At 40.8% G+C, this 14,379-nt stretch overlaps 1 long non-coding RNA gene across 1 annotated transcript; it reads right to left on the bottom strand.

The window, feature by feature from the left end:
* On the bottom strand, positions 179–3,397 carry LOC124902733 (uncharacterized). The gene is made up of 2 exons (XR_007062838.1): positions 3,097–3,397; positions 179–2,555 (listed from the first exon to the last, which is right to left on the bottom strand). It is a non-coding gene; the product is annotated as an uncharacterized LOC124902733 (long non-coding RNA).

The following is a 14,379-nucleotide window of genomic DNA, read 5'->3' as shown; positions in this document are numbered from 1 at the left end:
GCTGGGTATTGTGGGGGGCATTGATGATGTCTCTACTGGGTCCTCTTTATAAAGCCAATACTTTAACATATTTACCAACATATATTTACACATAATACTTAAATAGATGTATGGCCAATATTGGGGGTTATGATGTGGTTTTTGGAGGGGTTAGGACAAGAAGAAGATTGAGGCATGATTACAATAAAGAAGGAACTCAGGTGCCCTTTATTAAAAATGTTTGAGTCGTGATCTGGTGATAATAATAATAGATAACTTCTAATGGGGGCTAATCTTATGACCCCAAAGCACTTTTCACACCCATTAGAATCACTAAAATCAAAATGACTGATTATCCTATATTTGTGGAGGAAGTTAAGCAACCAGAACCCTCATACACTGCTTTTATGAGAATGCAAAATGGTATAGCCACTTTGAAGAGCTGTCTGTTAGCTCCTAATAAAGTTAAATATACACCTATTCTATGACCAGAAGTTCCAAATGAAAAGGAAAGTATATTTCCACCAAAAGACCTGTACAAGAATGTCCAGAGCAGCCTTGTTTATAGGAGCTCAAATCTGGTAACACCTGCAATTTCCACCAACAGAAGAATGGATAAGCAAATTATGGTATGACCTTGCAATGGAATACTACTCAGCAATAAAGATGATTGACCTACACAACAGCATGGATTAATCACAAATATGTTGTATTGAACAAAAGAAGCCAGATACCAAAAAATATATACCATATTATTCCAGTTATAGGAAGTCCAAAATCAGGGAAAATTAATCTATTTTCTAATAGAAATCAGAAAAGTGGTTACATTTGAGGGTGGGTATTGAGAAACAAACACCAAAAAATTTCTGGATTGTTATTTTTACATATGTTATTTTACGTAAGTTATATTGCCCCTCTCCTTTAAAGGGGGGAAAAAAAGAAGGAAGGATGCAGTGGAGACGGAGGGGCTGATGATGCAGAGGCATGAGTGGATGTTGAAGGGAAGGGAGAGGGAAGGGAGAGGTGAAGTGAGCTCATCCTTGAAGTGAGCTAATCCAGAACTCCTTAAAGTGAGCTCATCCAAAACCCAAGGAAGAAATATTATTTGTTAGGAGAGGGAGGCTTTCTTTCTTGTAGTAGAAAGGAATCAGAAGCCAGATGCAAATTCAGATGCACTTCTAAACTGGTGTGAGGAAAGAAGAGAACTCTTGTCTGGCTTCTGTATTCTCAGGGAGATAGAGGCTACCCATTAGCCAGGATTCAGGGGAACAGTGTAGGAGATTTGAAGACAAAAAAAAGATATGAAGGAGCACTTCAGAAAGTGGAAACATTAACTAGTAAAGTATAACAGGCGTGTCAGGAGCATGAATGTCCCCCTGCAGCTTGAGATGATGGCTTCAAATGATGCCACTCAGCCTGGCCAGTGGTTGTTAATCAGCAACTTGGAGCTACTCAGGACAGGCATGGAGAAGGCAGAGTGAATTTCAGTCAGGATTGGGGTCTGCTGGGTAGGAGCAAATAACAGAAGAAAGTTCAGGGGCCTGGTGAGAAGATGGATCCTGGGGTTTACATTAATGAGGGGTGATGAGAAAACAGAGGGGCTGATGGGCTGTGAGACAAAGGAAAAGTCAAGAGATTGCAGGCCCTGTGACTTCAAGGAATTGTGGTGAGTGAATCAGAAAATGTAAGTTGTGGTGCTGAAAGGGTGAGTTGTTTGAAACTGAGATGTCTGAGGCATGTAGATTCTGTTGCTGTGAAGGCTCTGAGGGTGATTATGGGTAGTGGGTTGCTGGTGGAAGGTGAGAAAAATGTTGTTAGAGATGAGAAGGTAAAGGAACTGAGAAGTCGGGGGTGGATATTATGGTGGGGTAAGAAAAGGAAAACTATGAGTCAGGAGGCGAATCCCCAGTGAATGAGGAGGAATGACCAACATGTCCTCAGGAGAGCAACAGCAAAGGGGAAAGAGACACCAATGGGCAGTGTCAAAGCCAAGAGGCTTTTTCAGGAAGAAGAGACAGCCACGCCTTCCCTGTCTTACAGGTGCAAACACATCGTGGCACTTCTCAACTTTCACACGCCAACATAGCAATAGGTGAGTTGGACACAGTATAAGTTACCTCCATCCAGACACACCCTCTAATAACACACATTTGTTAAACTGAGCATGAAACATAGGAATTTGCCCTATGCTGCCTTGGAATGTGATTGTCCATAATAGCATATCTCAAGATAGGCACAAAGAATTGGGATGTTCACCTATCTAAGAAGTCAATGCTACATCCTGGCATGGCTGGCCAGGCTGTGCCTTAAAATGGTGGGGGAATGATACAGCCACTTTGGAAGGCAGTTTGGTGATGCACTGCAAAACAACACATACCCTTACCATCGCATCGAGCAATTGTATTCCTTAGTACTTACCCAAGTGAGTTGAAAATATATGTCCACAGAAAGACCTGCACACCGATGTTTACAGCAATTTTACTTATAATTCCCAAACTTGGAAGCAACCAAGATGTCTTTCAATAGGTGAATAAATAAACAAACTGTGTGGCACATCCAGACAATGGAATATTATTCTGTGTTAAAAAGAAATGAGCCATGATGCCATGAACACTCATGGAGGAACTGTAAATGCATATTACTAAGTGAAATAAGCCAGTCTGAAAGGGCTACATACTGTTTCTTGATTCCAATTATATGACATTCTGGAAAAGGCAAAATTATGGATACAGTAAAAAGATTAGTGGTTGCCAAGAGTTTGGGGTGAGGGAAAGATGAATAGGTTGAGCACGGAGGATTTTTAAGGCAGAGGAACTGTTTCATATGATACTATAATGGGTAATACATGTCATTATACATTTGTCAAAACCCAAAGAATGTACAACACCAAGAGTGAACTGTAATGTAAACTATAGCATCGCAGATACTGCTGTGCCTGAATATAAACTAAAAAGATTATTTGTACAAAAGGCAAAAATAATAGTTGCTGCCAACAGTATAATGAAATTTTATGGGAAGAAAATCAAACTCTGGAGAAGGAGAGGGAAAAAAGACAAGAGAGTTTCAAGATTACTAGATGTTTTCTCAAAGAAATAAATCAACATTTTGAATGCTTACCGAGTGTCCTAGGATTTAAAAATTGAGCAGAACTGGTTTTCTCAACACGTATCCCAAGTTCAAACTCAAATGAATATCTGACCGTAGAAGCTCATTGTCATGTATCCCAACAGTAACACCTTTTACTCCAGATAGTACTTGAAACCTTTCCCAAACATCTTTCAACCAGGGTATCTTGGGAGATAGCAGTGATTGGCCCAGCTAGAAAAGAAGGAAACAGACTGTCAGAGAAGTGAATTGCCAAGGTTGGTGGCTGATGAGTGACCAGTGGCATTATGCAATCTATTTATTTTATTAAGTGTGTAATGAGGTCCAGGTACAGTGGCTCACACCTGTAATCCCAACACTTTGGGAGGCTGAGGCCAGAGGATCACTTGAGGCCAGGAGTTGAGGCTAGGCAACAAAGTGAAACCTTGTCTGTACAAAAAATAAAATAATTAGCAGGCACGATGGCATGCACCTGTGGTCCTAGCTACCCAGAAGGCTGAGGCAGGAGGGTTGCTTGAGCCTGGGAGGTCTAGGCTGAACGAGCTGTGATCATGCCAGGGCACTCTAGTCTGGGCAACTCAGTGAAACCCTGTCACTAAATAAATAAATAAATAAATAAATAAATAAATAAATAAAGTGTGACAGCTTTTACTCCTTCAGTATGAAATATACAAAGAAAATAAGCAAAATTTTCTTTTGGTAATCAGCTTGTAGCATGGCTGACAAGCACTTTTAATAATGCTATAAAGAGTAACTAGCACACAGCTAATATCTAGTAATTGCTCTGCATTACACATAGGGGACATCTGCATTCTTTTGTTTAATCCTCTCATCTCTATGTAACATATTACTGTGTACTGTGAAGAAACTGAGATTTACACAGGTTAAGAAACCTACCCAAGGTTGCTGAGCTAGTGGTTTCAGAGCTAGGATTGCAACCTAGGCTGCCCGATCCTAGAACCTGGGGCCATTTTACTCTTGCAGTGGGATATATTAAAATATACAGACCCTTGTTACCTCACAAGAAAGATAGGGAAACTCAACAATGTTGAGTAGATTGAACCCTGAGAGAAAATAGAGTAAGACTCCAGATGTTCTTGCTGTCAGCTTTGAAAAAAAAATGGTTTATACAGATCACTAAAAAAATATACCACTGCCTAGCATCGTGAAGCTGCCCTAATCTTTCCCTCAGGTGAAGAATGGCCTGGAAAGAAGGATGCTCTACAATAAAAGAGTTTAAACAAGACACAACTACAAAGCCACCACCTTCTGGGCAGCCTCCCTCATATTTCCCAGCACATGCCTGTGGCAGAAACCAGTCGGACGATCCTGTAGTTGAGCCAGGCTGGGCGGGGTCAGAGCAGGCATGTTCTCTCTGCTGCTGGTTGCATGATCTTTACCTTTCCTGACTTTTTCGTTCCCTTCAGAGGAATCAGAATGGGAGTTGCTGTGCCGGTTATTTCAGATTTGAATCTAATCTAACAGCTCAATGTTCAAGCGGAAGGGTCTGACCCTTCCCTCGGGATACAGAGACCCTAAGTAAGCTCGGTCAGTGTTTCTCTATTATCACCCACTGCCCAGAATCGATTGTTTAGCAAATAAATACATACATATTTAAATATATAAATATATCTACATATGAATTATGTATAATTCAATGTTTGCCAGTTTATTCTAGAGTCTACAACTCAGGAACAGCCAAAAGGAATAGCTACACAGGGCAAGGTGTGTGTGTGTGTGTGTGTGTGTGTGTGTGTGTGTGGTGTGCAGAGCTTCTTTAGAGGCACACCATTACCTGGCACCTTGATCTGTTCACCAACATGGAAGCTCTCCAGGTATCCTGGTTCAAGAGTTTTTATGGAGCTCAATCTCCAGTGCTCCCCAACATCCCCGTACCACCCAATGCAAACACATCCTGGAGGTCTGTGGACAGAGCTGAAAGTTCCAATCCTCTAATGACTTGTTATTTCTAGTGAATAGCCCCATCCTAAGCTGTCTAGGGGCCATACCCTAAGTCACTTCATTAGGATAAACTCAGGGGTGATCAAAAGAATCTCCTCCTTATGAATAACAAAAGACATACCTATTACTCGGGAAATTCCAAGGGTTTTAGGAGCTCTGGGTCAGGAACCTGGGACAAAGACCAAATATATTTTTGTATTATACCAAAGGAAGTTAAGTCCAGATCTAGCTGTGACCCTGGATGAGCTGTATAACCTCTCTGTACCTCAGTTTGGACATCTGTAAAAATTGGGATAAGTATACCTACATCACAAGGATGTTATGAGGAATAAATGAGATGCCTGGCTCATAATTAGCACTGGTAAACATTAGCTATTACTGTTACATTTTCCAGAACTTTCAGATTTGTGTCTTATTTAATCCTCAAGTGCAGAACCAGAATGTTTTCATTAAAAATTTTTTGGTTCACAAATATTTGAACATATTTACACAGTACATGGTACATGTGATAGTTTGTTACATGCATAGAATGTGTAATGATCAAGTCAGGATATTCAAGATATGCATCACCTCTAGTATTTATCATTTCTATATGCTGAGAACATTTCAAATCTTCTATTGTAGCTGATTTTGAAATACACTACACGTTGTTGATAAACTATAGTCACTCTACTTTGCTATTAAACATTAGAAGTTACACCTTCTATCCAACTGTATATTTGTACCCATTAACCAACCTCTATACCACCACCCGCCACACACACACACAAACACACACACCCTTCCCAGAGTCTAGCCTCTGGTATCTATCATCCTATTTTCTAGCTGCATGAAATCAACTCTTTTAGCTCCCACATATGAGTAAGAACATGCAATATTTGTCTTTCTGTCCCTGGTTTATTTCACTTAGCATAATAACCTCCAGTGCCATCCATGTTGCTGCAAATGACAGGATTTTATTCTTTTATATGGATGAATAATATTCCATTGTGTGTATATACCACATTTTCTTTATCCATTCATCCAGTGATGAACACTTAGGTTGAGTCCATATCTTTGCAATTGTGAATACAGCTGCAATAAACATGAGCATGCAGGTATCCCTTTGATATATTGATTTCCTTTCTTTTGGATAAATACCAGTAGTGAGATTTCTGAATCATACATAGATATTTCTCAAAAAAAAAAAAAAAACATACCAATGGCCAACAAGTAAAGTATATGAAAAAATGTTCTGACATAACAAAGTACCACAAAAATAAAAGAAAAAGTGTTCAACATCACTTATCATCAGGGAAATGCAAATCAAAACCACAATGAGATATCATCTTACCCCAGTTACGGTAACTATTATTTAAAAGACTAAAAAAAAAAAATGTTGGTGAGGACTCAGAAAAAACAGAATTCACACACTGTTGATAGGTATATTCATTAGTACAGTCACTATGGAAAATAGCATAGAGATTTCTCACAGTCACTATGGAAAATAGTATAGAGATTTCTCAAAGAGCTAATATAGAAATGTTCTCATTTTACACTGAGGTCCCTGGAGGTTAATTGCCCTGCCAAGGGCTCTATAGCCTCTGTGGAAGCCAGAGCTGGAACCAGGCTTGCCAACCCCTCTAATCCACCTCTGTTCTCTCTTACTCTTGCGAACACACTGAGCTAAGTGGCCCACCCTTCGTTAGAACATATCTCCATCGGCCAGGCACAGTGACTCACACTTGTAATCCCAGCACTTTGAGAGGCTGAGGCAGGTGGATCATTTGAGGCCAGGAGTTCGAGACGAGCCTGGACAATGTGGCAAAACCCTTTCTCTACAAAAAAATTGTATTTTTTGGATGTGGTGGTGCACGCCTGTAATCCTAGTTACTTGGGAGGCTGAGTCAGGAGAATCACTTGAACCTGGGAGGCGGAGGTTGCAGTGAGCCTAGATTGTGCCATTGCACTGCAGTCTAGGCAACAGAGCAAGACTGTCTCAGAAAAATAAAAGAACAAATCTCCTTCAGATCAACCTCAACTGACAGTTTGCTGTGTGTCCAGCTCACACATGAAACTGCCTCGGCAGTACTAGCTAGCTCCTGAATTCAGTGTCTTGGACCCACGTTCCACAGGCCTGAAAAAGCCCATGCATAGCCAGTGTAACTACAAATGCCCATCACACACATAAAAATTATTTCTAAAATTCAAAACCTGGTGCTGCTATGTCTGACAGTCTGGTCTCTAAGAACATGATGTTGTGGGTCTTCCCTGCAGGGCTTTGACACACTGAGGGTGGAGAAGCAAGCTTATATATTTGACCAGAACTGAAAGCTAAGCTACAGTTGAGGATATCAGAGGATCCCCCTTCTAACATGAAAAGGAGCCATATTCTGAACATAAAACCTCTGCTCACCACAGTGGCTCCATATACCTGCCAGGCTAGGATACACCAAGCACACCCTCACCTCTGCCCATGCTCCGCCCTCGCCTCTCAATGAGCTTTCTCTTCTTGCTACAATATCCAGCTCTAGGACCAGGATTTTGCATGGAATCTCTTTATGGTCAGATGTCTTATTCTGTTGTCAGACCTTGGGTTCCTTGGTTTTCAGTTGGTTAAGTGCAGTCAGCACTCCTTTATCCTCCTTAGCCATGACCACTCACTGGGGCACAGTCTCAGGTAGCCCACCTGGCTGTCTCATTCTCACCTTAAAGCAAATGCAAATATGACTATGGATGCATTAAAGAGCACTGTGGATTTTATTTTAAATGTCTTGGGTATACAGGGCAGAGTGTCATGTATATATCACATGGCAAAATATTTTAAGGACCCCCCCTTTAAACTTTCCTCTCTCTTTTCCTAAAGTTCCTAGCCCATCAGCACCTGCCCTGAATCTCTATCTTCTGCTTTTTCTCCCCTTTGCCCCAGTCTTTCTCTTCCTCTCCAGACTGTTTGTCTGTGAGTCCATCTTTGAGTAGAGAAATGTAGCCCTCTACTGACCTCCTTACCCATCAACCTTGTTGGCAAAACGAATGCTTGATGCTGATTTTCTTGGTCTCTCTTCTTCCCCAACTGGAGGAAGGAAATTGACCCTTCTTAGAAAGAAGTAGGAAAGATATGAAATGCCTATTGCTGACTTTTGTTTTCTATCACACAAATACTGTTTTATAATGGGAAAAAGAGGAAGAGGTTGAACATATATTAAGTACATGCCAGATATATTTTCATTTTGTACTCAAGTTAGTATGTATGTCTTATACATTCAGGCAGATGGCAACTTACATAAGGTCAGTGTCCATTTCTTCAGGGAATTATGCCAATTCTGTTTGACCACAGAATTATGGCTGCTATGGTAATGTCTAAATATTTTCATTAGATGCCAACAATTGGAAATATAAAGATCTCATAAAAATAAAAATATTGATGTCTGGCTTCTCTTGAAAAATTGAAGATCTGGTATGCCTATCCTGACTATAGCCAGAACCTAATAAAGGATGCCAGTCCCACCCACCTTAGATGGGGTCCTGGTTCTGCAGGACATCGTAGTACCCACCACTCCCCACTGTGTTCTTGATAACGAAGTAGAATCAATTGCTATCTATCATCATGCTTACATTATTTCCTTACAGTAAATAGAAAAGTTTAAATATTTTAAACATAGGTAAATAAGAGACCTAGAGTGTTCCATGCTTCTTGTTCCTACCCACTGGTTCGTTGGTCTTACCCGCCAGGTCCCTGTACGCATTGGCATGCGAGAGCCCATTTTACTGAGTGCTTCTTTTGTACTTCCCATGGTGCTGGTGCTGCTGGATATTTGGCAGGTATCCTACAATTCCTGATGAACTGGAATGAATGGAAAAAAAAAAAATCAGAAAGCTTCACTGTTTGTTTGCTCTACTGCTTGCCTCTCCTCTCCTTTCCTCTTCCTTGCTGTGGCCTGGGGAAAAGTAGCCCTTTCTCAATGCCTGGAAAACCTCAGTGTCCTTTTGCCCTACTTAGTCCCAAATCTTTTGAAACATCAGTGACCATGAAAACAAGGGAAATATTTCAAAATTATCTATCTTAGCAGGGCTCTATCAATAAATCATGGCAGAAGACTCTCAGTAGCTAGTTTGTTATATGCCAAGTCTGTGTTAGAAATGAATAATTCACAGTTCTGTAGCCCCAAATTGATTTATAATCTATTAAATCACTGAGTTTGGGTCTCCTTTCTCAAAGAGAAGAGGTCAGGTTTTGGCAATCAGGTCCAGGAAAAGGAACAGCATTGACAGAGCAGTGAATTCACTGCTCTGTGAGAACAGTGAATAGAGAACATCTGCGGCAGATTTTCCAGTATTCCTAACAGCACCTTTTTCAATGGAGACAATTGGATGACCAGGCACAGTGACTCACACCTGTAATCCCAGCATTTTGAGAGACCGAGGCAGGAGATCACTTGAGGCCAGGAATTTGAGACCAGCCTGGGCAACATGGTGAAATCCTGTCTCTACAAAAATTGTTAAAAAATAACACACAATAGGCTAATTGGATAATCAAATGTGATCTAACTCTTATGTCTTTGTCAGTCTTTTCATATAAATAATTTTAAGAATGAGGGAGAAGGGAATTCATTGTCACACCATCTGTCTAGACGTTTTGCTGTAGAAAATGTGGGAGTTAAAACTATATAGCTGCACGTGTATCCCAGGACTTACATTAAAATAAAAAGAAAAGGAAATTGTCACTAGTCCAAAAAAAAAAAAAAAAACAAACAAACAAAAAAAAACAACTATATAGCTTCTTTCCCAGCAAAACTGATGCTTCCTGGAGAAAGATAATTCTGAGGCTAAGATGAAGGGGTAAAGTTAGGGTCGATGAAACTTCATTTCTTATTTATACCTGCCTCTTTCTATAGGCTACTTCACCTTTATTCTCTACCATTGTTGGCTCCCTCCTGGCCTCTAATTAATGTATATTCTCTTCCTCAATTAGACCAAAACAGTTTGAAGATGGGCTGTACCTTCTTTTGACTTTTCTAATCTCATTAGCACCTGCCGTAGTACCACACATGCACCAAGTGCTTAAAAATGCTTTTTGAATGAATGAAAATGTTTTCCCACTGAGTGAAAACTCTCTGAATCACCTTCCATCACTCTGTCCCCTCTCACAGCTCTTTCTCCTTGCTTGCCTCCTCAGCACCGAGGGAGACTCTGAGTGAATCGGGACTTTGGAAGGAAGAAGCTGGGGCGAAATCTGCCTCCAGGTTTCCCACTTCAAGTCCTGCCCATTTAATCCTAAATCTGGAAGACTCATAAAGAAGACTTATTTCCCAGCTGGGCACAGTGGCTCACGCTTGTAAATCCCAAGTCTTTGGGAGGCCAAGACAGAAGTATCACTTGAAGCTAGGAGTTTGAGACCAGCCTGGACAACACAGGGAGACCCTGTCTCTACAGAAAATTTTAAAAAGATTTATTTCCCCCAGTTGAACACTCACAAGGAGGATTTGTTTCCCCCCGGCAGTATCTATGGCATATTTTTCTTGGCAGGCAGGGCTCTCCCCTCTATGAAAACAGTGGGGCATGGATAGGCATCATTGCAGCATTATTGCCTGGCATGTGCTATTGGTGTGGGCTCACAGAAGTGGCAGCCTGCTGCAGATCAGGCCCCTGAATGTACAGCATGCTGCTCACAGAGCAGGACCAACCTAGCTTTTTTTGTGGACACTGTCAAATGGCCTCACACCACACCTCAAACCAGTCCACCAGTACCTCATTCTTATGCTATAAAAATGAATTTACCATAGCCATCCCCAAACCTGCAGGTGCTCTTTCATTTCCTTCTAAATATTCCCATATTCATCAACTTCTTCCCATTTTGCTGCAACTCTCCTATAGGGTGTAAGATGACAACTGCAAGAGCCTCTGATTAGTCTCCTTCCTCCTGCCTTGCCTGCCTCCAACCTCTTTTTCATGCAGAACACAGGGCTTTTTTTTTTTTTTTGATGGAGTCTTGCTCTGTTGCCCAGTCTGGAGTGTAGTGGTGCAACCTCTGCTCACTGCAGCCTCCGCCTTCCAAGTTCAAGCGATTTTCCTGCCTCAGCCTCCTGAGTAGCTGGGATTACAGGTAAACGCCACCACACCAGGCTAATTTTTGTAGTTTTAGTAGAGACAGGGTTCCACTATGCTGGCCAGGCTGGTCTCAAACTCCTGACCTCAGGTGATCTGCCCCTCGGCCTCCCAAAGTGCTGGGATTACAGGTGTGAGCCACTGCACCAGGCCAACAGGGATATTTTTTAAAAGTATAAGCCAGACAACTCCTTTGCTCAGAATCCTCCAGTGGTTTCCTTCACACTTAGAAGAAAAACTCCAGGCTCCTTCCCATGGCTGCACGATCTGCCCTTCTCTTCTGCCAGTGTTCCGTCTTCTCCCTTTATTCCAGCTCACCGGCCTCCTGAAACAGGATCTTTGTTTCTGTTGCCTCTCCTCTCTGAAATGATCCACTTCCCTGCTCAGCCCTGACTGTCTCCTTCCTAAGAAATGAAGTTACGGCCAGAGGAATTATAATACCCCCACCACCCTAAGCATTGTCATGCCACCCTGCTTCATTTTCCTTCTGGCAGTTAGTATTAACTGCATTTATCTACTTCACTTATTTCTTTACTTGTTTTTTGTTTGTTCCCCCTTATAACAAGGTACAAACAGCACACATACTTGCAGATACATTGTTCTGGGTTGATCCTCTCCTTTGTTGAGAGGATTCCTATAAGCTATAGTTGTATACCTAAACTCTTTAAAGATTAATACCAGAAACCTCAGAGTAGTTAGGTTTGGTCAACAAAAAGATGAAAGAATTATTATTGGCCAGGCATGGTGGCTCACACCTGTAATCTCAGCACTTTGGGAGGCTGACGGGAGGATCACTTGAGGACAGGAGTTCAAGACCAGCCTGGGCAATATAGCAAGACCCCATCTCTACAAAAAAAACATAAAAAAAATAGCCAGGTGGTGGTGCACACCTGTAATTTTAGTTACTCAGGAGGCTGAGGCAGGAGGACCACTTGAACCCAGGAGTTTGATAATGCAGTGAGCTATGATTGAGCCACTATATTCCAGTCTGGGTGACAGAGCAAGACCTGGTCTCTACCAAAAAAAAAAAAAAAGAAAAGAAAAAGAAAAGTATTGTTAATTTTTTAGGTGTGACCAATGGTATGGCGGTTATGTATCTAAAAAGTCTTGATCTTTCAGAGATACATGCTAAGATATTTAATACTTATAGATAAAATGATATGATGTCTGAGATCGGCTTCAGAATAAATCAGGGCAGGGCAATGGGGAATGAAAATGGGTAGGCGTGTTGGTGAATTGGCTATAAGTTAGTAATTACTAAAGGTGGGTGATTCATGCGTGGGCATTCATTTTACTAATCGTTCCACTTTTGCATGTGTTTGAAATTTTTCATAATAAAAAAGTAAGAAAGAAAAATATCCTTACAACATTTCCAGATGCCTATCCTAGACATATCAAGGCTCTGACACACATTTTAGATCATGCAGACTCAACTCATCCTTGTATTGGACTGTAAACATCTCATTTTAGCAGCAGGCAAAGATCCACAATGCCCCTCCAGAATGTAACCCCATGAGAACAGGGAACTTAATGTGTAGTGGTCATTGAGTGCCTGATTATTCCCAGTCCCCAAACCAGCTACTAGGAATAATCAGTACTCCATAAACATTATAAAATAGCTAAATTGCCCATTTTGGTTAATGGCCTTGTTATCATCCCGGTCATTCGAACTACACCTTCAGAGCCATAACTGCTGCCCCCTTCTCCACATCCTCTCTCACAGTGGTACCTCTAGCCCTCCCCAATATCAATGCCTTTTATCACCTCTCACCTCTACTGTTGCAACAGTCCCTGACTGCTTTCTCTGCTGCCAGCCTTCTCCTCCCAACAGCATACTGTAAATTCTACCAGGGACTTTCCAAAGCATGCTGAAACCTGCTTGAAAACTTTTACTGGTTCCTCAGTCTGACCCCATGTGAGTAATAGGCATATTTTATAATTTCATAATGTCTTATAGATGGCAAAGCTCTCTCACATATGTCATTTGATATAATCTCTATGGCCCTTTGAGGCAGAGGTTTATTTCCCCATTTTATGCCAAAGAAACTGAAACTCAAAAACTCCAAATTAAAAAGCTGGTAAGTGATAGAGCTTAGGCCAGAATTCAGTGCTCTTAAGACAAGAAGTTATATACAAATTTTCTTTATTCATTCATCTGTTGATGGACACTTAGGTTGATTCCATATCTTGGCTATTGTAAATAGTGCTGCAACCAATATAGGAGGGCAGATCTCTCTTCCATATACTGATTTCCTTTTTTTTTAGATAGATACCCAGCAATCAAATTGCTGCATCATATGGTAGCTCTATTTGCAGTTTTTTGAGGAACTTCCATACTGTTTTCCATAGTGGCTATACTACTTCACATTCTCACCAACAGTATATAAGCATTCCCCTTTCTCCATATCCATGTTAACATTTGTTATTTTTGGTCTTTTTTTATAATAGCCATTCTAACTGGGGTGAGATGATATCTCATTGTGGTTTTGATTTGCATTTCCCTGATGCTCAACAATGCCCAACACCACTGATTACTAATGTCGAGCATTGTTTCATATACTTCTTGGACATTTCTAGGTCTTCTTTTGAGAAATGTCTACTCAAATCTTTTGCCCATTTTAAAATTGGGCTTGTTTCAGTTTTTGTTCATTTTGTTTTGTTCTTGTTTTTGAGTTTTTGCTATTGAGGTGTTTGAGCTCCTTGTAAATTCTGGTAATTAATCCCTTGCCAGATGAAGAGTTTGCAAATATTTTCTTCCATTCTGTAGGCTGTCTCTTCACTTATTGTTTCCTTTGCTGTACATAAGTTTTTCAGCTTGATACAATCCTCTTCAGCCATAAAAAAGAATGAAATCCTTTCATTTGCAGCAACATGGATGGAACTGGAGGACATCATGTTAAGTGAAGTAATTCAAGCATAGAAAGACAAATATTGCATTTTCTCACTCATATGTTGGAACTAAAAGTGTGGACTCCTGGAGGTAGAGAGTAGAATGGTGATTACCAGAGGCCGGAAAGAAAGAAGGAAGAATGAAAAGAAACTGGTTAAGGGGTATAAAAGTACAGTCAGATAGAAGGAATAAGTTCTAGCATTTGATAAGGAAATGATGGTTAACAATAATTTATTGTATATTTCAAAATAACTAGAAGAGAAGAATTATAATGTTCCCAACACAAAGAAAAGATAAATGTTTCAGGCATAGTGACTGTGCCTGTAGTTCTTACTTTGGAGGCTGAGGCAGAAGGATCA

The sequence above is a fragment of the Homo sapiens genome, chromosome 11, assembly GCF_000001405.40.
Source record: "Homo sapiens chromosome 11, GRCh38.p14 Primary Assembly".
Taxonomy (NCBI): Eukaryota; Metazoa; Chordata; class Mammalia; order Primates; family Hominidae; genus Homo; species Homo sapiens.
This window is presented reverse-complemented; position numbering and strand designations above follow the sequence as displayed.